This window comes from Homo sapiens, chromosome 17, assembly GCF_000001405.40.
Source record: "Homo sapiens chromosome 17, GRCh38.p14 Primary Assembly".
NCBI classification, from domain to species: Eukaryota; Metazoa; Chordata; class Mammalia; order Primates; family Hominidae; genus Homo; species Homo sapiens.
Genome location: NC_000017.11, coordinates 40,624,643 through 40,649,644, shown reverse-complemented (window position 1 = coordinate 40,649,644; position 25,002 = coordinate 40,624,643). Strand labels below are relative to the sequence as shown.

At 38.4% G+C, this 25,002-nt stretch overlaps 1 protein-coding gene across 1 annotated transcript, besides 1 other annotated feature; it reads left to right on the top strand.

The window, feature by feature from the left end:
- Positions 1,294-1,588: a silencer, noted in NCBI's record as "tiled region #7873; K562 Repressive non-DNase unmatched - State 1:Tss". NCBI's record gives its function as "represses a minimal TATA promoter and a strong SV40 promoter by Sharpr-MPRA in K562 cells {active_cell/tissue: K562}" and the evidence as "EXISTENCE:reporter gene assay evidence [ECO:0000049][PMID:27701403]".
- Positions 1,827-24,683, top strand: SMARCE1 (SWI/SNF related BAF chromatin remodeling complex subunit E1). Its single transcript, NM_003079.5, has 11 exons — positions 1,827-1,872; positions 3,798-3,849; positions 4,026-4,069; positions 7,086-7,190; positions 12,073-12,153; positions 13,119-13,250; positions 13,543-13,714; positions 17,278-17,450; positions 17,952-18,053; positions 18,721-18,931; positions 20,652-24,683. Exons 2-11 carry the CDS (start codon positions 3,843-3,845, stop codon positions 20,858-20,860), a joined length of 1,236 nt encoding a protein of 411 aa, NP_003070.3. The 5' UTR covers positions 1,827-1,872; positions 3,798-3,842; the 3' UTR covers positions 20,861-24,683.
- The last annotated feature ends 319 nt before the right edge of the window (positions 24,684-25,002 follow it).

The window sequence follows — 25,002 nt, the reverse complement described above, 5'->3', positions numbered from 1 at the left end:
TTTTGAGACAGAGTCTCGCTCTCTCGCCCAGGCTGGAGTGCAGTGGCGCCATCTCCGTTCACTGCAAGCTCCGCCTCCCGGGTTCACGCCATTCTCCTGCCTCAGCCTCCCCAATAGCTGGGACCACAGGCGCCCGCCGCCACGCCCGGCTAATTTTGTTTTTGTATTTTTAGTAGGGACGGGGTTTCACCGTGTTAGCCAGGATGGTCTCGATCTCCTGACCTAGTAATCTGCCCGCCTCGGCCTCCCAAAAGAGCTGGGATTACAGGCGTGAATATTTTTTAACAAGCAATTTCATGTACATTTTCTCAAGCACCACTCAAGCTGCCTGTCCACGGGGCAGACGACTTCTCCTTTAGTCTTTCTCTTGAATATGCTCTTCAATTTCATTAATCTCTATTCATGAGTATAACAATATTGGAAAAATTGGACAGAGTATCACTTGTTCCTCGCTTTGCAGACTAGAGATGCTTCTAGTCCCTGTTGGCACACTCAGGATGGGGGCTACGGGAAGCCCAAGAATTCAGCCTCTCTCTAAATGTCAACTGTTTTCCAGTAACCACAGGTCAGGGATCCCATACGTTCATTCTCCCTCCACAGTGACCCACAATATCCATCGGGTGTTTATGTATCCAAAGAAGAGGCTACTCATTCCATCTGGTAAACCAACATACTCATGATTTAGTGGAAAGAGCCCTGGAGTGGCACAGAGGGCTGCCTCAATACACACTTACTGAGCGTCTAACAATGAATGGGTCAAGCCCTTCGTAGGCACTGGCAATGGGAAGATGACCAATACAGACGGCTGAACCTTGCTTTCAAGGCCTTCATAAAGCACTGGAGATGACAAACACGGTCCGATACAAAGGGTCGGGTTCAGGACTCCAACCATTATTATCAAAGAGCCACGGGAATACAAAGGAAGGATTACTAGGGGGGAAGTTCCAGGAGGGCATCACAAAGAGACCTCTGAGCTGGATCCAGAAGGACAGATGAGTTTAAGCTGAAAGTGGGGACGGTCGTTCCCGCTGGTGGGAACCGAAGGAGCCGAGGCAGCGCTGAGGCGGAGACCAGGTGGCACCCGCGGCGCTGCAAGGACACACAAGCTGTTGCGAGGGGGTCAACTCTCCGGGCCTTGGCTTAGAAACCTGGGACGATTACACCCTAAAAGCGCTTGGAAAAACTGCAGAACTCGTGCTGATTTTCGCCAAAGCTACTCCCCCGCCGTGAGGGCAGGAAGCCCTGCGAGGCGCCTGCGAGGACGCAAACGCCGCGAAGCAAGTCCTCCACGCCTCCATCCCAGGTTTAGTGAAGTGTAGACTCTGACCCACAGCCTAAAGGAAAGCAAGACCGGAGTCGGGGAGGGCCCCTCCAGGAGCGGGCTCAGCGGGAGTCTGGCCGAACTGCTTGCTGCCACAGTGGTTCCGCGGCCTCGCGCTGAGCGCCATCCGCCGTCTCCCACCGCGGCCCCCACCGCCCCTCCGCAAGGCTCGGCACCTCCCGCCACTTCCTCGGTCGCTGCGGCGGCTCCGGCTCCTCACAGCCGCTAAACCCAGGCCTATTCTGTGTTAGGTCGGGCCTCCTCGGCCCTCTTCGCCGTGACGAATCAGCGCCCGGCTGGGAAAGTATCAAAATTCGGGGAGTTTTGAGGATCCAATGGGTCCTGAAAAAAATCCCTGAGTGTGCTAAGCATCACCGCATCTTCACTAGAAGGTTAGTTTTTCTAAAGAGGGTCGGGTGGGGCCCGGAAAAAAAAAAAAATTAAGAAGAGTGTGGAAAGTGCGAGTGCGGAAGCTCCGGACGCGAGGGGCGGGGCGAGCGCGGGACAAAGGGAAGCGAAGCCGGAGCTGCGGGCGCTTTTTCTGCCCGCGGGTGAGTGTTTCCAAGTGGGACGGACCGGGTCGGTGGGTGCAAGTCGTGGTGTCCCCGCTTGGCTAGACCCCGAGTTCCCGGGGGTTGCTGGGGTTCAGCCTTGGCCGTGGGGCCAGAGCCAGGAGCCGGTTGAGGCCTCCTTGAGGCCTAGCAGAGCGAGGGTTGGGAGGGAGTCCCATCTGGGGCCCCCTCCTTGGAGGCAAGGCCAGTCCCCCGAAATTGGTCAAAGCACCTGTGAATACCCCGTTTTAGGGGAGTTGCTAGTAAAGTACATTCTCCAAGACAAAGAGAGCGACCTCAGGAAGCCGTGGGCAAGGCAGGTCCGTGGTTCACCCCCCACCCGGGCAGAAGGTTCCCCCATTGGTTCAGGCAGCGACTTGAGGACGAGCAGAGCTCTGAAATAGTTTGGCCTGGGTTTGAAACCCAACTTTGGCACTTCCTGGCTGCATATGGCTTCAGACAAGTTGTTTAAACTTTCCGAGACTCCCTTGTTTCATCTGTAAAATGGGGATAGCTGTACATATAAAGTACTTGTGAGTGTTAAGCGAAATAGTGTCATAAGCGTACCCCGTATAAAGTATTTCTTGAACAAATATTTATCGGGTATTTATTTTTATGCCAGGCACCAAAGATGGATCCAACGGTGGACAAATGTACAAGCCCACTCTTAAATTTTGTATTCTAGCAAAAGAGAGCAATAATTTTAAAGTATTAACAATGAAGTATAACGTACAGGGAGCTTATGTTAGTTGTCAGGGTCCCCTGCAGCGAGGCCTGCTGGATGTTGACAGCTCCCTTAATGTGAGCAGAAAGGAAATCTACACCAGAGTCAAAGGTTTCTGGCTGTTCTTTAAGAGGGAAAGACTCAGGTTGGACCATTGAGAAAATGAGCTGTTTCTTTCCACACCAGGACTCATTCCTTATGCTCCAGGGAATTTCCTTAAAATTAATAATAGAAGCGAAAAATCAGATCTATTCCACATGTTTGGTTGCAAATACCTCCAATAGTCATAGAAGTTTATTTGCCTTCTTTCCAAAGATGAATTTTTGTCTTTTTGTACCTCACTATTTGTGATGTATGTTGATGTAAAGAACAAGCTCACATGTGCCTGGTTATGTTGTGAGCTGGTAATACTAGGAAAAAATTTCCTAAGAATTGAGCTAGGTCCTGACATGGTCCCTCTTTCCAAGTAGCATACAATCTAGCCATATTGATAAGTTAAAAAAAAGTTATAATAATATAGATCTGTGTAAACTGTATAGGAATACAGATGGGGGAGCAGTTAATTCTGCCCAGGTAATGTATCAAGAAAGTTCCCTTGAGGAGAAAAATTTTGAAATGGGCTGTGAATGATGAATAAAAGTTTTTCAGGTAGACTCTCAAAATTTATTCCCAGCATTTATGAAGCTATTTACCATTATAAGAGAATGTGAAGTTCATTGTCATACCAATTACCTTTTGCACTGCTTCCAGGAATAAAATGCTGCCTAATTTTAATAAAAATTGTTATCCCAAAAGCATGATACAGTTGCTGATCAGGGAGCTGTCAGTATCTGGTAGGCCTTGTTGCGTTGGACCCTGATAATACATCACTTTCTATTCTCATCCTTGTATCAGTCTGATGAAATGTTTACATGGCGTCAGCAAAATGTTTTCCATACAAGAGGTAGCTTAGTATCACAAGAAAAAACCTGAAAGTACATTTCTAAATATCCCCAGTACTTTATTTTAGTCATTTAATTCTAATCAACCAAATGACCTATAAGAACTAGTTAAAATACACAAAAGGCTTAATTACTAGGAATTAAGGTGAAGTAATTTTACTCAGAAATACCAATTAAATTACCCTATTCATTAGGAAAACATTCTCGTATGCTTGCTGAGTTTTGATTCTCTTTTTTTTTTCCTTTTTTTTTTATTTTAGTGTCTCAGATTCATTCTTAAGGAACTGAGAACTTAATCTTCCAAAATGTCAAGTAAGTTTCAATTTTTATATTTATCAATCTATGTTAATAAGAGACTAATGCCCTAGCAAGTGGGAATTCCAAAATACTCTCATTTTTTTTTCTTCAAAACAGGACCATTGGTAGTTTTGTTGCATAGTATTATATCTCAGTTGTTTACAAGAAGTTATTTATTTTCTTTCAAACAGAAAGACCATCTTATGCCCCACCTCCCACCCCAGCTCCTGCAACAGTAAGTTTTAATTTTCTTGTTAATGTAATAGCCAACTCTGGCCTTGATACAAAAACCCAGATGTCTTCCAGTGACAGTCACTCAATCATCACAGCAACAGGATGAAATTCAGCTTAAAAGAAAAAAAAAAAAGCACTTCCTACTAAATAAAATAATTATTTGCATCTTTCCTTGAACCAACCCCAACATTTAAAGAAACAGTACTGTAAAACTCCAACCTCCTGTGCTCAGTTTGTTTTGTTTTTTCTTTGTAAATGGGAAATAAGTGAAAGTTTTACCATTTCTTTCTTATTAATCTTCACTATTAAGAGTCTTTAAGTTGTTACTGAGTGAATGCTCATTCTGGCTATTTTGTTAAACCTAACCTTCAACTGGTTATGTTTTTCTCTCCTTTCTTGTCTCTCTCTAAAATTTTCATATTAAACAATAAAGCTTCTGAAACTACTCATTGTAAATATTTTCAAGCTGTTCAAGTAAAGATTTCATTATCTATGGGGCAGATCTTGCTATTGAATCTTATTCCACTCCATAAATTATATTTTATTGGTTTGGAAGTATATATGTTTTAAGTAGTTGTGAACGTGTTTTTTCACCCAGGAAGCTCTGGCCCAGCTTGGTCAGCATGTAAAATAATTTTCCAACCCACAAAACAGATTTAGCAGTAACTGTTCAGGTCTTGCTGAAATGGCTTCCTTGTTGGTTTTTTGGGAGGGGGGGTTTTGTTTGTTTTTAAAAAAACACTGTTAGCATGACCAAATTCTACAAAATTAGTTCTTTAATATTAATCCTTCCTTCCATACCCCCACCACCTAAATTTCAGGCTAGTCTACTTTTCACTACTAATTAGGTCCTTGTGTAACTTAGTTTTCTCCGCTAAAAAACTACTCATATTTACTAACCCTCAGATACATATTTTAGTTACATTTATCAACAATTTGTTTTTCTTTAGTGAGATACTTTAGAAAAGAGATACCGTACCATATGTTCTCATTTCAATTTATGTCATATACAGGCTCTAAAGTTAATTCCAGTAGACTATAAAGTCCTATGCTTGCTTTGTTTTCTTTCTTAAATCGAAGAACATTTGTTATGACCATCTCCATGGCATTCTGCTAGTGGCTATACAGGTGGAGCTGAACAATTGAGATTCTGACCTCAAAGAGCTAACCATGTACTTCAGCTTTGGAAATGGTATAATTATAATGTTTTGCTTTCCATTTTTTTTTTTTTAGTTCCCTTATTTTTATAACATTATTGCCTCATAATGTTGAACAGTGATTCTTATTATTTATGCTACCTTTGAAGGTGTCATTTTGACAAAAATACTGCCTCTGACAATGCATCATCTTGACAAACTTGATTTTTTGAGATTAAAATATTTCAAAAACCAAGTGTCCCCTTATAATTTATTATGCATAAAAAGGAATTTTTTTTGCCTTTCTTTAGTTATATTTTTGTGTCATTATAGTTTCACATTAACACACAAAATATAGAAGACTAGGGATTAAAACATCCAACAGAATGGATACTAAATGAATTATTCTTCTTCCTTTTTTCTTTCCATTACTTCTACCACCACCACCACCATCACCACCACTACCAACACTATCACCACTATCACCTCTGCCACCCAAATGTACCGCTGCAAGTAATATACACTTCTTTCATGCCTTTGATACTTCAACTGTGTTTTGCCTACTTAAATATGCTTTATTTGCGTCTTTTCTAACTGTATAGACTAGAAATTGATCAGCCGTTCTCTTTTCTCCTAAAGAGTATCAAATGTAATATCTGCTTAAATGTCTTTCTTTTGGGTACTAAGGATATGTGCAGCGGCATGTTTTAGGAAATTGTGTTTATTTTGTAACAGCTACAGCTTAGTTGGAATGTGTTAAGTGTATTTTACATTATACAATTAAGGACCGATATTGTTAATTGCATGTAAAAATGAAATTGTCACATATTTTGATTGAATTTTACAAGGTAAAATACCCTAATTTTGGTCTCTCTCTACTATATTCTTTCTATGCATTATGCCTTGGTTCTCATGAACATTGAGTGTCATTGTATTAGCCCCAAGGCTACTGCTATATAAGAGCCCATTTGTGATTACATCAACACATAATTCACAAAAACCAAGGGTTCTGTTGCTGAAATGAGCAGTTGTATTTTGAAAGGGTGAGAGCTATCAGGAAACTAGATGAAAAAAGAAGTCTATAAACTAGAAAAGTAGTTCACATTGAGACAAAATGCAGAAATGTTTTCATGATTGACCAGTGGAAGATGGATCAAAGAAGAAATGGAAGAGAAATCCTATAAAAGAATGACTGGGTTAAAAAGATCAGATAGTACCCCAGAATGAAATCCATGCATTTCTTACAAGTCTTTGTTTTAAATCATGTATGTGACATCCATCAAATCCAACATATGTTCTTTTCAATTGACAAATCCTGGCTTCCCGATTTGAGTCTCTACTCATTTCTCACATTATATAAAATGATTTAAAACTGTCGTTGAAATCAGATCCATTTCTTTTTTTTGTTTTTAGTAGATAAATACATTGGTGGCATCCACATGTCAAATAAATTGTATTTTGTTTTGCATGTAGTGTTTTCAGAGTTCTAGTTGATCACACTTCAAGCCTTCCTATTTCAGTCTTCATATATTGCTAAGTTGTTTTATCCTATTGTTGACCATAAAGTAATCCTGAATGTTTTAAACACTTCAGTGTGTTGCTTACCTCAAAAAACAAAACACACATTCACAGTCACACAAACACCCCCAGCCCCTGCAAAAAAGAAAGAGAAAAACAACCAAAAGACACTGCAGACAGGTTTCTCAATGAAAGAAAAATATTTAATTTCCTCAGTGGAAAAAAAGAACAATTACAACACATCATTGCTTGTTTAAATTCAGGTTGCTTTTGCATGCCATATGCAGATCATTTTTCATTTCTGTGTTTTCCTCGTTTGAGCTCATTTCTCATTCGTGTTTTTGTCTCATTTGTTTCCATCAGCAAATGCCCAGCACACCAGGGTTTGTGGGATACAATCCATACAGTCATCTCGCCTACAACAACTACAGGCTGGGAGGGAACCCGGGCACCAACAGCCGGGTCACGGTAGGAGAATCAACTATTACAGCATCCGGCAAACAACTGGAATTGACCAGAAATGCCTTCAGAATTAGGTCTTTTTGAATCATAAGCACAGCCATTTAAAAAAAATTTTTTAACCTAGCTTTTTGAGTATTTTCAACATTCGTTGTAGCATCTCACACTGAAAAAATAAATAGTGAGATCTGGAATGTATATAGAAGAAAAGAAAAATCCATTCTGTTTGGTGGTTGGTAGGGTTAAAGCCTTGAGCACTTGATGCTTATACTGTATGTAAACAAACAGAATTTCTTAAGGTAAAAATATCCTTTTTGACATAAAGAGTATTTTTCATTTTTATAAGGTGATTGGCATTAGTCTCAAGGATTGAGTTTCTAGTAGAGGCTGGTCTTTCAGACCTGGCTTTTTCAGGGCTGGAAAGCTTTTGGCTGGTACACCAGTTTGAATCGCTACCCATAGTTATTTGTCTTTTGGATTTAGTAGTTGACCTTCTAACTAAGACTCATTTCTCTACAGTGAAAAAGAGAAAAACGTTTTAATGTCACCTCAAAGAAATGCAGAGTGAAGGTTGAATGAAATTAATTTGAAGTATCAGACTAGATATGTACAACGAGAAGTGCATTTCTAATCCTTAGTATAAGAGATAGGATTTCTGAAACTTAGCATGTTTCATTTAAGTGATCAGCCTAAGATATCAAAATTGGATGATACACTTCAAATCTTTTAGTTTAGAATCATCTTAAATTTCATTCAAAAAAGTTTAAGCACCAAAAAATGCCAATAATTATAAAAATGACTTACTAAAGATAAAAAATCCAAAAGTCAAATACTACATTGGAATGTAGTGTTGGTGAGAATTTATACAACCCAGAATGGCTGTAAAGTTTTTAATACCTGGTTTTTGTTTGCTGTATTCATAAATAACAAGTGCCTTCTATTAATGTAACTTCAAAAAAGCCCTCTCACCCTGTAGTCAAGCTGGAACTGAAAGCTTGTAGCTATCAAATGAATGTCTATCTTGATAAGCATATTGCTTAGCTTGATAGGTTTTGTTTGTCTAAATTTTTCATTGTTTCTGCATAATATGTACTTCATAAGCATATCAAGTTTTATGTGCCATGCATATTTCATGGTATCTGAAAAAGAATTCTGACAAAGTGTGTGTATGTATGCATTTCACAATGCATACAATTTTTATGTGCATCAATACATGTTTTTCCCTGGCCTAAACATGTTGTTTCACAAGTGTAATGGATGGCAAGGTTTTCAAATGATAAAGAACATTTCAGTTTAAACAATGAACGGAATCAATCATGGATCTTAATGTTAATGCAGCAATTTTTTCACGGGCAGTAAACAAGAATGATTGCATTTAATAGCTCTATACAGTCACCTCTTGATTATCTATGTTAATGGAATAGAAATGATAACTATAATATTACAGTAATTTGTCTTTTGGTTTTGTGTAAGTATTTTGCTCTTAACTTGGATGTAGCTGTGGGGGATTCTCAGTTAAAAAAGTGAGATTGTTCGATGGAGACTAGGAAGAGAAAGTGTACTCCCTATCTGAAGTCACTCATCTGTTTCTTCCCATTCCTTCTTGGCGAATGTTAAGAACTGAACATTTGGCGTGGACACTAGCTACATAGTAGATTAATTATAGAGAGTTGTTGGACATGGAAAATTTGGTGTTTTGGTCCTTTGTGGACATTTACTTTGTATTATTGTCCTCTTAACACCAAATTGAAGTATAATCAAACTGCTATATGAAGAAGGGCCTAGAAAATGTGGAGGTTTTACACTACTTGCCCTGCTTTCTATATCTAGTTTAAGCTGTTAGGACTCAATGGCTCTGATTTTGACCATAATAAAAGCATTTTGATTTTACTATGACCCTAGTTATGCATTACTTTTGGGGGTGAGGGGAAGCTCCTGTATGGTATTGTTGTGCGCAGATTGCATTAGTGGTTTTCAAGGAACGAATCTGTGAAGCCCTGTCCAGTAGCTTGTGGTAGGCTGTAGAGAACATTGGGTTTCCCTGATGACTCCAGTATACTTGGGTAGTTCTCAGACAGTAAATACTTTGTATAGCATGTCGAGACCTTTTGGAGTGCTTATGATAGCTACAAGATGGAATTCACTCCTAGTCAGTTCTTCATTCAGATGATGATTAACATTCTCTTAAGTACAGGTGTGAAAACACATTGAGACAAAAATGTCTTTAAAAACAGCCTATTTCTGTACATTAATAGAAATTCTGCCCCAGAAGAAAGCTCTTAAATAAGTTCTTGCTAGAGAAACAGCTGAGAATTGCAAAAGAAACAACAACAAAAAACTGAGTAACCAAGATAAATTTCACAAAACCATGAACTTTATTCATAGGAGATTTCCTAGGACCTTGCTCTTCTGTAAGCACAGTTCTACCCGCCTCCCCATTGGAAATTGAAAGCAGAAAATTGGAAAGAGAGTTGCTGCTAGAGGTGGGTTTCCTGATAGTAGCAAGGAAAGAAACAGTTCAAAAATGGAAACACATTCTCCAAAAGCATAGCCCCTAGGCCGTTGAAAGAGTCAACAACAGATTTTGACATCTGACAGAGGGTTACAGCACAGCAAAACAGTGGTTGTTTCTAATTGAATCTTATCCAGAAAGGGTCTAAAGTATGTTCAGCTTTTTTTAAAGAAATGTTTAAGACATTGTAGAAAGATGTCTGTCTGAGACGTTAAATAAATTGGAGGTGTGTAATGATATAAATCTTTACTATCCTGAAAACCATCTGGAATTTAACTTTATTATTGTTTTGGGGTGTTTTTTTAGTTTGGGTTTTTGTTGTTGTTGTTGTAAGTTGACTGGTCTCAATATACAGATGATTTGTGTACCTTTCTTTGGGAGAAAGGAGGGGAAATAGCAATTCCATTAATATAAAATGTGATTCTTTGAAAAATATCAAAGAGCAAATACTACTGTGTTTTTAAAGTGTTTTAATTCATATTAAAGCTCGGAAGCATAGGCATTTTAGAATTCTTTACCTCTTTAATTTCAAAAAATTTTGACAGTGGTCTTACCACCTCAGTTATGGGCACAATTCCAACTTTATTTGTAATCCATTTCATGGAATTCTGAAGGTTTGTGTTGGATATGAGTTGGAAATACTTTCTAGTAACTTTATGTGTGAAGAAGCAGACTTGTGTGTGTCTGTTCCTCTGAATCCATAAGGTTAGTCTTATAGGAATTCTCTTTCCCCTTGAAAGAACTATAGACCCTGATACAGGTTTCCCTGTATTGGCTGCCCATCCTACCACTTTTGACAGTTTCCATGCCCCTGGCCATCTCACTCTCTTACCCACTGCTGGCCAAAAACAGTGTCTGTCTACCTGGGCACTAGCATGAGGTGTGACAAGAATGCATGGGAGGAATGGAAAGAGAGGAAATACTGCTTCCAAGGCGAAATGCTTTGAAGAAGTAGAGTTATAGGGATGGAGAGAGACCCTTGTAGGAAGAGGAAACATTTCTTGATCATAGTGGAAAAGGACACAAACATGCTAATCCCTGAGCCCTCAAATGAAAAATAAGGTTATGATTGGGGTCCCAGCCCAGAGTGGAGGAGTATCTCTGGGGTTTTATCATAGCAACAACAGAAGGGGAAGCGAACAAAATGTTACTTTAGTTTTCCTATAAGGATTTGCCAATCCTGTCTTTCGATAATTAAAATAAAGCCAACACTTCATTTCTCCAGCCTAGCAGGGAGAGTCAATATCAGAGATCTCCTGAAAATTTGCAAATTGTCTGAAATAGCAATGATTTTTCTTATTCTGGGTCTTTAATCAAATGCAGTCATGTATATTAACAGGAGACTAAAAAGTTCAGAAATAGATACTTTTAGATGGGTGTTATCTGGGTGGTCTACCAGAGGCTGTCTGGAATCTCACCTAGACTTTAAGCCACAGGAAAAACTGATCACTTTATCTTTCTCTTTCCTTCTTTTTTTATTTTTTCTTTCACCTATTTTTGCTTTACCTTTTTAAAAAATATTTTTCAGTCTTCCCTCCGCCTCCTTTTCTTCTGTCTCTCTTTTCCTGTACATCACATCTTTCCTTTTCCTCTGTCTTTCCCATAAAACTGAACATTTTTAATGGAATGGAGCTTCTTGATATAAGACCTCAAAAATAACGTAATCAGGCCCGATATCTGCCACTTCTCTGTTCCTGATAAACTTGTTTGCTTTTACACTGTGATTAGGACTCAGGACAAAACAATGTGTGACTTTTAATTCACACTTCTCATTCCCCTTTACAAGAAAACCACTAGGTAACAGACAGAACCTTAAGAGAAATAAAATCTCTAGCCTGGCAAAGGAGGTAAGGTGGTTTGTTATTTCACTAATTGTTTTTGTTTTTGAACCTGGGAAGTTGTTTTTGTGGTGGTGTTGGGAGTACATTCCTAGTGCTAATAGGTTAAGGCCCCTGTAGACAGTGTGAGAATGGTAAGTGTTAAGGGTTCAGATCCTGCTGCAGATAATCAAGTGTTGACTGTATGTGTAATGGTAATTGAGCAGAATAAGAGGGTACCAGGTAATGTCCTGAACTTGAGACGGTTGATATATAACCATATATTTTCAATGTATGGGTTACTGTGTAATATTTTATTTGTTCTTGCAGCCAGGTTGTCAAAGCATTGGCAATAAACTGCTAAGTAAAACATTTAAAAATTATGTGCTTAAAGTCATTTTCTTTTGAACATTTCTGAATTTGCAGTGATAGCTATTTTCAGTGAAGAAAATATTTGGACGAATAGAAGAAAGGCGCATTAGAATTTTTTAAGGGACTCTCTTTTCAGTTTGCCAGTGAACTCCTTACAGTTGAATAATGAATGTATTTAACTCTTTCGTAGGCATCCTCTGGTATCACGATTCCAAAACCCCCAAAGCCACCAGATAAGCCGCTGATGCCCTACATGAGGTACAGCAGAAAGGTAGGTGCTTAGGACCTGGTAAGGAGTGAGGACACTGTCTTTGCTGCTTCTTTGCTTAACATCCAACTTTAGATCGGCTTAGCCAGCTTTTCTGTGCATATTCAGAGGAAAGGTCCAAAAAAATACGGTTTTTAAAGCAATTAGTTCTGATTTCAAAATTCCAGAACTAAAATCCAACAAGAGGAGCGTGATTAAATAAACTGTTAAAATCCTTAAGATAGAATGTTCTATAGCCATTAAAGTCATTTCTTTTGGAGAATATTTAATGACGTGAGGAAAATGTTAAGTGAAGGAGGACTGCAAGACTACATGAATTAATATCTCATTTTTATAAAAATAATAGCAACCACATGTTAGTTTGAAGGGGGAAAACACAGAAGACAATAATTATCTCTAAGCAGTAAGCTTATGGTAGTTTTTATTTTCTTTTCCTCAAGTTTTCCTTTTTTTTTTTTTTTTTTTGGTGATGAGCCTACATTACTCTTAAAATAAAAAAAGTAGCCAATATCTTTATTAAAAGGCAGAGCATTATAACCACTATCTAGAAATGTTAAACCTTTTGATCTTGACTATTATATTTGTATTTGATAATATGATGTACCGTGTTATGCAAATTAAGCACTTTTCTTCTAAATTCACATGAACTTTTAGAGACGTAGACTATGTTATTGAAGTAACTCATCCTAAGTGTCTGTAGTGATTGGAGATATTCTTGCTTATCAAATTGAAGTATTTATAAGTGAGTGACGTGATGTCTGAGATCTATCTTAAAGTAATCCAGTAGGGCAAAGATAACTTGAGATTGGCCAGTTCTTGATAATTTTTGAAGTAGGCTGATGAGTACCTAGAAATTTGATACTGTTTTCTCTGCTTTGTATGTTGAAAAGTTTCCACATTAAAAACTATTTTTAAAGGTCTATACGTTTAGACATCAGTATTAACATTTCATCTGTTTTCTTTTTAAGGTCTGGGACCAAGTAAAGGCTTCCAACCCTGACCTAAAGTTGTGGGAGATTGGCAAGATTATTGGTGGCATGTGGCGAGATCTCACTGATGAAGAAAAACAAGAATATTTAAACGAATACGAAGCAGAAAAGGTAGGGTAGGGGCTCACAGTGGGATAGATAATGTGTAAAGTACATAAAACATTGGCTTACTATTTATAAAAGTAACATAAGATTTGGTCAGAACACTGATGCAGTACTGAGGCTCTGTCTACCTGAGTCAAGTCAGTTTCTCAAGGCCTCAGATTTCTTGCCTGTAAAAAGGAGATAATTATCCCAACACCCTGTTTACATCATATCTTTTGATATTCAAGTGAGATAACATAGGTCTGCATTATAACCTGCAAAATGTTAATTATAAAACCAAAAAACATTTGAATTTCAGATAGAGTACAATGAATCTATGAAGGCCTATCATAATTCCCCCGCGTACCTTGCTTACATAAATGCAAAAAGTCGTGCAGAAGCTGCTTTAGAGGAAGAAAGTCGACAGAGACAATCTCGCATGGAGAAAGGAGAACCGTACATGAGCATTCAGCCTGCTGAAGATCCAGATGGTAAAAGAAAAAAAGTGGGGTTTTGTTTATGCTTTCTCTGTGAGTTAAGATATGAGAAATCTCTTAAGTATAAGTTTTTATTTCTTATCCTAAATGGAAAAGAAAGTATAATTTAAGTATCGTCTTAGTATTTTGGTTATATTGAGTAAGATTTGTATGTGAATTTCCCACAAGAAAAAGAAATATCCTTTTCAGTGCAGAAAATAGCAAAAATTATTGATTGTTTATCAAAATCTTTGTACTCAAAATGCACGAAAGGTTTTTAAATCACAATCAGGATTTTGCCTCATCTGCTTTTAAAAAGCTAAATGCATTCTAATTATATCTTGTTTTCTTATTGGTTCACTAAATTCGCTGAATTAAAGGCTCTTAAGGGAGAAGCTAATGAGTATGTGGAAACATGAAGTTTCCTTTCCATTTAATTCAGAAATCCAATAAGAATGTATAAATATAGCTCATGCTACTATTTGTATGGGTGTACATGAGGGTATACCCATACAAATTGTATACATGCACACGAATGGCAGAGCTTCCTAATTGCCATTCTGTATGAGTAGTTAGCAGGTGTTCTGATTGTTCTGGTCTTGTGCAGCCAGGCAGGGTCTGAAGCTGCGAGGAGACCCAGAGATAGCCACCTGCAGTGTGAACACACTCAACCACATATCTAGTGTGCTGTATAAACATTAATAGTTTCTCTGTATACTGCTATGATGTGCAAAAGGTTAGAAGCTTTAGCTGCAAGCGACAAGAACATCAGGAAAATGATTTAAGATCCCATCTTAAAGTAGCAGTAACAAAGAGGAAGGCTATAAGAACTTTAAAGACAATATCAATGAGGGAGGAAGCAATAATAGTACCTGAAGACAAGAATAAGTTGATAAAAGTGGGGAAAAACAGAAGTCATTTTTAAAAATAATGTACTGGAATATTGTCAAATGTTCTCATAAATACAGACAGTGGAATGTAATACTATAGAGAATAGAATATGGAATAGAAACAGTATTGAATGTTAAGCAGAATCAGCAGTGCTAAAGACACACTAGCATCCTCACACTTTAATTACTCAAATGGGGTGATTAATGCAAGAGAAACATACAGAACTAAAAATCAGAAGACAATCCAGTCTACAGATATTGGGAGGATGGAGGTCAGTACAAGAGGAAACAAAGGCTAGCAACGTAAGTAGAAAATAACTAAAGCTTTCATTAACACCATGAACACTGAGAAGGACTAAAGAGATTCACTCAGAAACAGTCTGAAACTTGGGCCTATGATGTTTTTAACTTTCAGATTGGGTCTTAAAGTTGCTAGTAAATTCAGGTAGCAATTAAGATGCCAATATGAGAATGTCTTTAGCATACCAGTACGAAAATGATTAGAAAGAGGAATACTTGGGAGGTGGAAATGTATGTCAAATGTACATAACAGAAAGGTGGCATCTGCATGAAGTACAACAGCTACTGACTTCTTTAACAGAGGACTATCAAAAGATAGACATTGCCAGGCGCCATGGCTCACGCCTGTAATCCCAATACTTTGGGAAACTGAAGCAGGAGGATCGTTTGTGGCCAAGAGTTTGAGACCAGCCTGGGCAACACAGCAAGACCTTATCTCTACAGGATACTTAAAAATTAGCTGGGCATGGCGGCTTGTGCCTGTAGTCCCAGCTACTCCAGCTGAGGCTGAGGTAGGAGGATCAGTTGAGCCCAGGAGTTCAAGGCTGCAGTGAGCTATGATCATGCCACTGTCCTCCATCCTGGATGACAGGGCAATAACCAGTCTCAAAAAAAAGAAAAAAAAAAGAGGGCATGTGCAATTATCCACACAAGACAATGAAGGCTTTTATTCAGTGAGAGCCTCTTCATCATAGGATAAATAGCTGTTCAATTAGATCATAACCAGAGAAGCCATTCCCCCAAAAAAGGAAGCAGACGACTAACATGCAAAGAAGAACAAGCCCAAATTGCTTAGACCTTATGTCCCCATCTGTGGTCAACACTGGGGCCATATAAATGAAAGAAGAAAACAAAAGCTAACAACAAAAACAGATAACTTAGACAGATGTAGCACAGATGTACCATATATAACCCTAAAGGTGAAAAACTCTTAAAAAGTAGAAAGGTTACAGAGTTTTAAAAAAACTGTATCTTACCCAGTAGTTTTAATTTCAGAAGTTTATTTCCTAAAGAAATTACTCAAAAGGAAACAAAAGTAATTTTTTTAACTTTTTACAAAAACAACAGTTTTTAGCTGTAGTATTTATAATAATGAGAATTTTAGGAACTACTTAAGTGCCAGACAATAAGGGAGGTGCTAAACTGACATAGCAGCGCAACATAGGCCTCTGTAACAGGGTTTCCCCTGTAACAAGGTTTTCTTAAGTGTGGTTCCTCCCTGTCTGGTGGGTCACTGAGGTGATTAAGTGGTTCAGAGAGGAGCGTTTGTTTTAATATGTATTACTAAAGAGAAAGCTCTTTTTTTTTTTAAGTGAGTTAGTTTAAAGAAAAATATTAAGTAAACGATAGTACAGGCTGTTAGTAGATATATGAAAAACTATGAAGGTGATAGAGCAAAGACTGAGATTAAGGAAACACTAGATAGCTATTAAAAATAAGCCTGTAGTGTGTGTGCAGTGGCTCACACCTGTAATCCCAGCGCTTTGGGAGGCCAGGATGGGCAGATCACATGGGGTCAGGAGTTCAAGACCACCCTAGCCAACATGGTGAAATCCCATCTCTACTAAAAATACAAAAATTGGCCGGGCGTGGTGTCATGCGCCTGTAATTCCTGCTACTTGGGAGGCCGAGGCACAAGAATCACTTGAACCTGGCAGGTGGAGGTTGCAGTGAGCTGAGACTGGGCCACTGTACTCCAGCCTGGGTAACAAGAGGGAGATTCTGTCTCAAAACGAAACAGAAGCATATAAACCAGACCCATACTGTATGAACTTGGGTCATACCATTACACACTGACAACAGCTGGCTAAGTGTAAACTGACAAAAATTAAATTTGGAATCAGACATTTATTTTTCTTCTATAAAATTACTTGAGGGCCTGGGAAACTGAATATTGTTAGAGGTGATGTATTCTCTGCTGTCATAATTTTACAAATGGGCATTTTCATTCATTTTTAAAGTGCTACAAGTGACAAAGTCACTGCCCAGTTCATATGTTGTTCATTAGTTGTTAAATGCCTTAAGTTACTACCAAGAGAGTGAAACATTGGGCAGAATTTCAATTACTGCCATCACATACAGCCTTCACATTGATTCCGAAGCCAGAAGAGACATGTTGTATCTCGTTTATGTTTTAGCCAAATCCTTCTCAGACACAACATTATCACTTAAAGACTGTGAGATAAATTACTACCTTGGCCAATGAACACATTACGTCCTCTGTATGGTTTTTATCAAGTAACTGCCCCAGTGCTCCCATGACGCTGGGCAGGTCCACTTGTTAGGCCAGTGAGGGCCATAGTTCGTTGGTAATTAAGTGTTAACATTGTTACACTCCTTTTTATGGTTACTGGTGACCTGATTTCCAGAACAATTTGTTCACTCCAGATTATGATGATGGCTTTTCAATGAAGCATACAGCCACCGCCCGTTTCCAGAGAAACCACCGCCTCATCAGTGAAATTCTTAGTGAGAGTGTGGTGCCAGACGTTCGGTCAGTTGTCACAACAGCTAGAATGCAGGTCCTCAAACGGCAGGTCCAGTCCTTAATGGTTCATCAGGTAAAGTCATAAAACATTCATTTCAATAAGATGTGCCTATACCACAAATCCCAGGTGATATGATTCCTACACCATGCCTAAATCTACCTGTTAAATATGTCAATCTAACCTGTTCCTGATTTGGAGAAGAGGTTTAAGGAAGTGGACCTTTCCCAGATGTTTAATAAGTTTGTCATTAAAAACTATAATATAGAACCTTGTAATGGAAAGTATATTCGTTAAGAAATACGTGTGAACTTAAGAATTTTGAGGCATCCTATCAATCTTTACTGCTATGCTAAATATTTTTTCCCAAGGAATTGCTCAGGCCTGAAACAGTATTCTTTAACATTTACCTATTGATCATAATCATTTCTTTGTGCTGCATTTTGTATTTTTTAAATCTTAGCTAGACTCATGTGATAAATGATCTAAAGTTCAAAACATTATTTGGTACACTGTTTGAAAGTATGGACCATTAAAAAATGAGACACAATTATGAAGCCTGATCCTGTCTTGCAGCGAAAACTAGAAGCTGAACTTCTTCAAATAGAGGAACGACACCAGGAGAAGAAGAGGAAATTCCTGGAAAGCACAGATTCATTTAACAATGAACTTAAAAGGGTATCTGTTTAATATGTTAACTATACTTTTATCACTATACCTGTTACTTTATTTTTCCTCATTCTTTTTTCCAAAATAGTGTTTTTATTGAATGTTGTTCACTTTGAAACAGGGCTAACTTTATTATAAACCTGTAGGATCCTTTTTTTATAAGATTGTTCCCATTCTCTGGCAAAATTGCAATAAATTTGAAATATCATAGAGTATACACATATCTTCTAGGCCTGTAAATGCTAGAGCCCTCTGATATGTTAAACTCCCATACAGTCATTAATTACTTTCATTTTATTGTGATTTATTCATCAAATGTCGTCATTAAATGTAATTTATAATTTGCACTTTGCATTCAGACAAGGAAATCTAGTTGGTAGCCCAAAATGTAAAACGGAAGCCTTATGTATACCCCAGAACTTTCACTATTTTGCCTCACCAGCTGCTCTGGAATATCCTATATTATACAACTGCTAGAGCTGCTGTTTTTTCTTGTAGACCCAAGAGTTTCAGAGAAGACCTAGAACCACATTTTTTTGGCACACACACACACACATACAGGTGTATAGATATATATATATAGTTTATAGGCAAGAAAACCAACTTTTGAAAGAATATATCTGGCTCAAAAATTATAAGGAAAAAACATTACGGAGTTCTGTTTTTTTCTGATTAGTTGTGCGGTCTGAAAGTAGAAGTGGATATGGAGAAAATTGCAGCTGAGATTGCACAGGCAGAGGAACAGGCCCGCAAAAGGCAGGAGGAAAGGGAGAAGGAGGCCGCAGAGCAAGCTGAGCGCAGTCAGAGCAGCATCGTTCCTGAGGAAGAACAAGCAGCTAACAAAGGCGAGGAGAAGAAAGACGACGAGAACATTCCGATGGAGACAGGTAACCCACTAGCAACAAACGCAGAGGCAGTGCCAAGACTTTGTACGGCTGTCTTTAATTTAGGTTTTTCTTTCTAAGTGCAAGTATTCTGGTACCTGCCACTGAGGGTGATTCCCAGTACTAAATTTGACATGATATTGACATTCAGTATTTTAACCTTTAAATGCTTACATTATTTATCAAGATGTGGTTATTACCGTTAAGATTAATTGTCTTTGGTGTCCTAGGACAGCATTCTGCAAAGTAATACCTGTAAGCCAATCCTGCCCACCACTTGTTTTTGTAAATAAAACTGGAACACAGCCACACTTGTTTGTTTACATACTGTCTGTGGCTGCTTTGGGGATAAAACAGTATAGTTGAGTAGTTGCAACAACAACTGCCTGGCCTGCGAAGTCTAAAATATTTTCTATCTGGCTCTTTACAGAAAAAAATTGCCAGCTCTGTCCTAGAAAAACCCTTACTTCTAGGTATACTGATTTTCCTGATTAAAAGCATCCCTCAAGGTAAAAAATAATAATAATAACTTGTATAAATAAAACTTACATAAAGTACTGATTACATTGATCGTCACTTGTAATTTTGAGATCACCTTACCTCATGGCACTGTTTTAACACTGCCTAGTACACTGTGTAAACAGGACTAAGCTAAAAGTAGTTATGGAAAACAAAACCAAAGGCTTCCTGGAGCATCGTTGCAAGAAGTGGGAGGGACAGTAGTCATACTTGGTACTCAGATGACAACCATCTGGAAAACATGTAATGGAATATAGATATCTTTACCAGGTATTTCTGCAAAATTTAATCCAGCAGATTAACATTTGAAATGGTCATATTTTAAGTTTCAGTATCTGAGTCTCTTTCTGTTTTGTATGAATGTGTTTTTTATTGTAATGAATTTGGAGCATGAGCACATTTTTGTGGTTAAAACGAGCTTGAAAATTAAAATAACTGATTTTTGCTAATTTTGCAACTAGACAAACACTCAGTCCTTTGCCTCTGTTTTGGCATCTATGAATGGGGCATGTCTTATGCTTAAGGTTTGCAGGTCTTTACTCAGATTCTGTCCTAGTTCAAGGAAAAAACCTGAAGAAAATCGTTTGAGACTATTAGAGCTAAAACCTCATGCTTTTAATTTCTTACAGGAAACAGCCCAGCATGACTTTAAACAAAGTGTCTAAAAGACCAACCTTATATTATTTCTACAACTGCTTTCTCCTCGTTTAATCCATAGCACTACAGACTAACTCTCATTCACTGTCCAACAGAAATAAAATGCAAGTCACGTGAAATTTTATATTTTCTACTAGTGACATATTTTTAAAAGTTAAGCAAAACAAGTGTTTTAACAATATGTTTTATTTAATTCAACATATCCTAAATAAAATTATTTCAACACAGAAGGAACATTTTTAAAATCAGCTTTCCTTTTTTTAAACAGTCTTTATACACATCTCAATTCAGAAGCTAAATTTTCATCGGAAGTATTTGATCTGCATTTATTTAATAAATTTCATTCATTTACAGCTAAAAAGTAGATTTTCATACCCAAATTGTTCCAACATTCTTAAAAGTTCTTTAGTCACACTGGTTCATTTCAGGGGTTTAATAACCACATGTGGCTAGTGGCTTCTATATTGGACAGCACAGCTGTATACTGTCAGCATAACTAGAGTAAAATTTCATCTTGGAACTGACAGTGACAAATGTGTGATTACAGAGGAGACACACCTTGAAGAAACAACAGAGAGCCAACAGAATGGTGAAGAAGGCACGTCTACTCCTGAGGACAAGGAGAGTGGGCAGGAGGGGGTCGACAGTATGGCAGAGGAAGGAACCAGTGATAGTAACACTGGCTCGGAGAGCAACAGTGCAACAGTGGAGGAGCCACCAACAGATCCCATACCAGAAGATGAGAAAAAAGAATAAGTGTTGCCTTGTTTTGTGTGTTCTAAATACTTTTTTTAATGAAAAAATGTTTTTTGGTTTTAATGGTGTTACGTGGTTTGTGTATTAATTTTTTTTCTTGTCCATATCACACCACCAAAGGCTTTTGGACCATTTAGCATCATGAGCCTAATGGCTCAGTCAGTCACCTTTCTTAAGTGTTGTGAAGATGGCTCTTTTCTTTGGATCTTGTTTCTAGCCCTCAACTGCTGAAAGCCTCAGAATTTAGATTAATTGAGAAAACACCCACCTCTTTTAGAGAATTATCCTTTGATGCTGCAGAATCTACTCTTACAATGCCTTCCTACAGCTCACTGGGGTGCTTACCAAAGCCATAGCTTTAAACCTTCCCAGTCCCCATCAGTAGCTTCCTGAAAGTCTCCTCTCTTGTTTACTTCTGCAAAGGGTAGCTTCTTAAAAACGTGATCATGTATGAGTATGTATTTGTTCACTTACCCTTTTTTACTTTTAATCAATGTCAGATACCAAGAGTTGTGTTAAGCTGAGTGTAGTGTGTAACTAACTACACTTGGATCTTACTGATCCAGAAATAGTCCCCATAGTTAGAGTAGTTACTTATGAAGTGGTTATTAAAGTGAACACAGCACATATACATTATCTATACTGCTTTTTGTTATGATTAATACTGGGTATGTTCTGGTAAATCCATCCTTATTGTATAGAAAAAAAATTACTTTTTTACCAGGTTTTCCAAAGACAGAATAGATCACAAAGCTCAAGGAATTTAATATTCTTGTAATGGACTAGATAATTCAAACTGATTAGCCCATTCCAGAAGAAAAACAGCTGGGAATTAAGTTAATCCACTTGAAATTGTTTTACAATAATCAGAACATCCAAACCTCAAGGCTCAGGATCCCATAGACCAGAGCCCACCTTTTTGATAAACTTAGTAAAGTCTTGGAGACTAGAAGCAAGATAGTTTGTGACACATAAGCTTCCCAAAAACTAGAATAGATTTTTACTGAATAGTGGTATATCTGATGGTATATGTTTCTTAAAGGTCCAAATGTAATAAAAAAAAAAATGAAAAAAAGGTCTCAGTGTTTTTAATGCACTACATATTTGTATGCAAGACAAGCATCCAGTTTTTTTCTGTAATGCAGTGACAGTGTGGAATGACCACTCAGCCATTATAAATTTGTGTACTCAGGGCCCTTGTCTCACCCAACTATCTCTATAAACTGCTGCAGTAGCTTATTTGTACAAGACACTTGTGAAAATCAGTTTTCTTACATTATAGTCATTGTCACATATGGAAGTTGGTCTTTGATTCCAAAAGTAAAGGGAATATGTTTCTACATTAACAGGAATATGGAGAAATCTGTAACGTTTGAATTATCTTTGAAAGAATGGCTAAATGATAAATGTTAAGTCCTGTGCCTATATGGAGAGGACTCTGTACCAGCATGAGTTAATTTAAGTGGATTCACTGCTATTCAGTTCATAGCACATTAGTGACTAGGAATGTGTGTTCAGCCTCCTGAGAGAGGAGGGGAGGAAGCTTGATACTGGGTGGAAACAACTCTTGACATCTGTTTCCTTGTGTGTCAAAGAACGAATTTGTATCAAATAGATCTGTTTTGAGCTTTGGCCATTATTTGGCTAAGAACTTCAGCCATCTCATCTCAGACAAATTGGACAGCCTCTTTGATACATTTTCTAGTAGTCAAAATGGGGCAGATGTAGTTTAATATGGGTGGAAAACTGCCCCAGCAAGATACCAGGTTATTTACTGTGGTATCGAAAGCTCTAAGAGAATGGAAGTGGTTCTTTTGCCCGGCTGGAAATAGCAGTGGGAAGACAAGTCTATCCAGACCAAGCCTGTCCATACAACACTGGCAATCAGTTGATGAGGGAATTAAGTCAGATGGGAGACGTCTCAATCTGTCGCCCAGGTTGGAGTGCAGTGGTGGCGATCTCAGCTCACTGCAACCTCCACCTCCCAGGTTCAAGCAATTCTCTCTGCCTCAGCCTCTAGAGCAGCTGGGATTACAGGCTCTCGCCACCATGCCCGGTTAATTTTTGTATTTTTTAGTAGAGATGGGGTTTCACCATGTTAGCCAGGCTGATCTTGAACTCGTGACCTCAGGTGATCCGCCTGCCTCAGTCTCCCAAAGTGCTGGGATTACAGGCGTGAGCCACTGTGCCCGGCCTCAGTTGGGATTTGACAGCTCTGAACCTCAGCAGGGGAAGATTGATGTAAAAATCCACTTGGTCAGAGTGATATATGTAGACTTGATGTTTGAGATGGTTCTCAGTTTAGAGAATGTGGGATATGGTAGAGGTCTTTGTTTTTTTCCCATGTCCCAAAAGGTGCTGGGCAAGTAGCTTGAACTCGAGCCTGTTTTAATTATAAAATAGATCAAACTGCTCTTTCTTGGTGCCCTTACTGCTCCTTGATTTTTAGTGCATTTATTTTGAGTATGAATGCATAAAGTCTGAGGGCCTAAATTTTGTTAATTTTTTTTAACAAATGGGAGAGGGGAATCCTCGATAGTCACCCAATTTTCCTTTTTTTTTGAGACAGTCTGACTGTTGCCCAGGCTGGAGTGTAATGGCGCCATCTCGGCTCACTGCAACATCCAGCTCCTGGGTTTCAGCAATTCTCCTGCCTCAGCCTCCTGAGTAGCTGGGATTACAGGCGCCCGCCACCACGCCCGGCTAATTTTTGTATTTTTAGTAGAGACAGGATTTTGCCATGTTTGCCAGCCTGGTCTCGAACTCTTGACCTCCTGATCCACCCTCCTCTGCCTCCCAAAGTGCTGGGATTACAGGCGTGAGCCACCGCGCCCAGCCCCATAGTCCCCCAATTTTCTAACAGTTTTAAATTCTGTAACTTCTCCTGTCTGTAAACAAGGCTGTCTTTTCAAATGGCTCTCCTACAGGATGTGATAATTATCTATTCTATAAAGCCGAGGTTTGGAGAGGTAAATAGCTATTTCACATTAACACAATAATGTCAATGCCCTATGGAAAAGATAAAATACTTGGACTATATTTTAAAGGGGAATCTGGGGTCATGCATATTGAAGTTTAACTAGATCCCTCCAGATTTTTGGTTTTGATCCTACACATTTAGATACTAGTTTTGGATTTTAGACAGTTGGTGCTGACAGTGTGAAACTCCTATTGCCTGCAGTTAAATTGAAGCTTTGGTTTCTCGTGAACAGGCAGTGAAGCTGGTATTATACTTTAAGTCCTCATTTCAGAAATAGTTTCCCTCCACCCCCAAGCACTACCACACATGGTCTCCCCACCTGGTTTCAGCTAGTGCATTAGTTTTATCTTGTTTTTTACCGCTGGGCAAACCTTGCTGGAACAACAACTGACTTCATGATTTGCACATTTGGAGGGCTTAACGTCTTTGCAAATGAAAAATCCACTGTACAATAACAAGCTCAAAGGAACTCGGAGCCTTTTTAGAAGAAATCGTGCTGAATTATAATGTGGCTTACTGCAATAATGTTTCTTTGATCAGGATGGAAAGGAAAATACTGAGTTTAGCAGAAAACGATGTCTAAATGTATTTGTAATGATACAATTGTTTATAAATGTTTTACTATTAGGTTGAACCATAAGAAATTGCCAGTGTACAATTTCATCTACAAAATGACTGGCTTAACCTAAATTCTGCATTTTATACTCCAAGAATAAGCTCTTCGTGGCAGCTTTCTAAGTGTGAAATGATGGAACTTTCTATTTGCCAGAATGACCTACACTTCTCTAATAGTTTATCTCATATTGTTAGCCAAACGCTGATTAAAATGCAAATTTCAAACTATTGAGTTTTTAAGAGCCTGATGTTTAAAATACATTTTGGTGAACTTTTAGTTAAACTAGCTCATTTATGTTCACACATTTTCTCATTTAGCACCAGAAAGTTTCTTACAGCTCTTTTGCATGCATTCAGGAGTCAAAAGTATTATATGGGGAGGGGAAATTCCCAAATGATAAATACTCTTTACATAAAACTGAGACAGTAGCTGCAGATAATGGCTCCCTTTGAGGAGCCACTTGAAAGAAAGGAAAGGCTGCCTTAAACTCCTTGACTTTAAGGGGCAGCAAGGACCCTCGGTCAGCCACCTCCACACCCGTCTAGC

Bases quoted from the DNA above. Each gene is read 5' to 3' on its own strand.
- SMARCE1 (NM_003079.5), top strand. The intron at 4,070-7,085 runs GTAAGTTTTAAT...TGTTTCCATCAG, and splicing joins CCACCCCAGCTCCTGCAACA to CAAATGCCCAGCACACCAGG. The intron at 18,932-20,651 runs GTAACCCACTAG...GTGTGATTACAG, and splicing joins GAACATTCCGATGGAGACAG to AGGAGACACACCTTGAAGAA.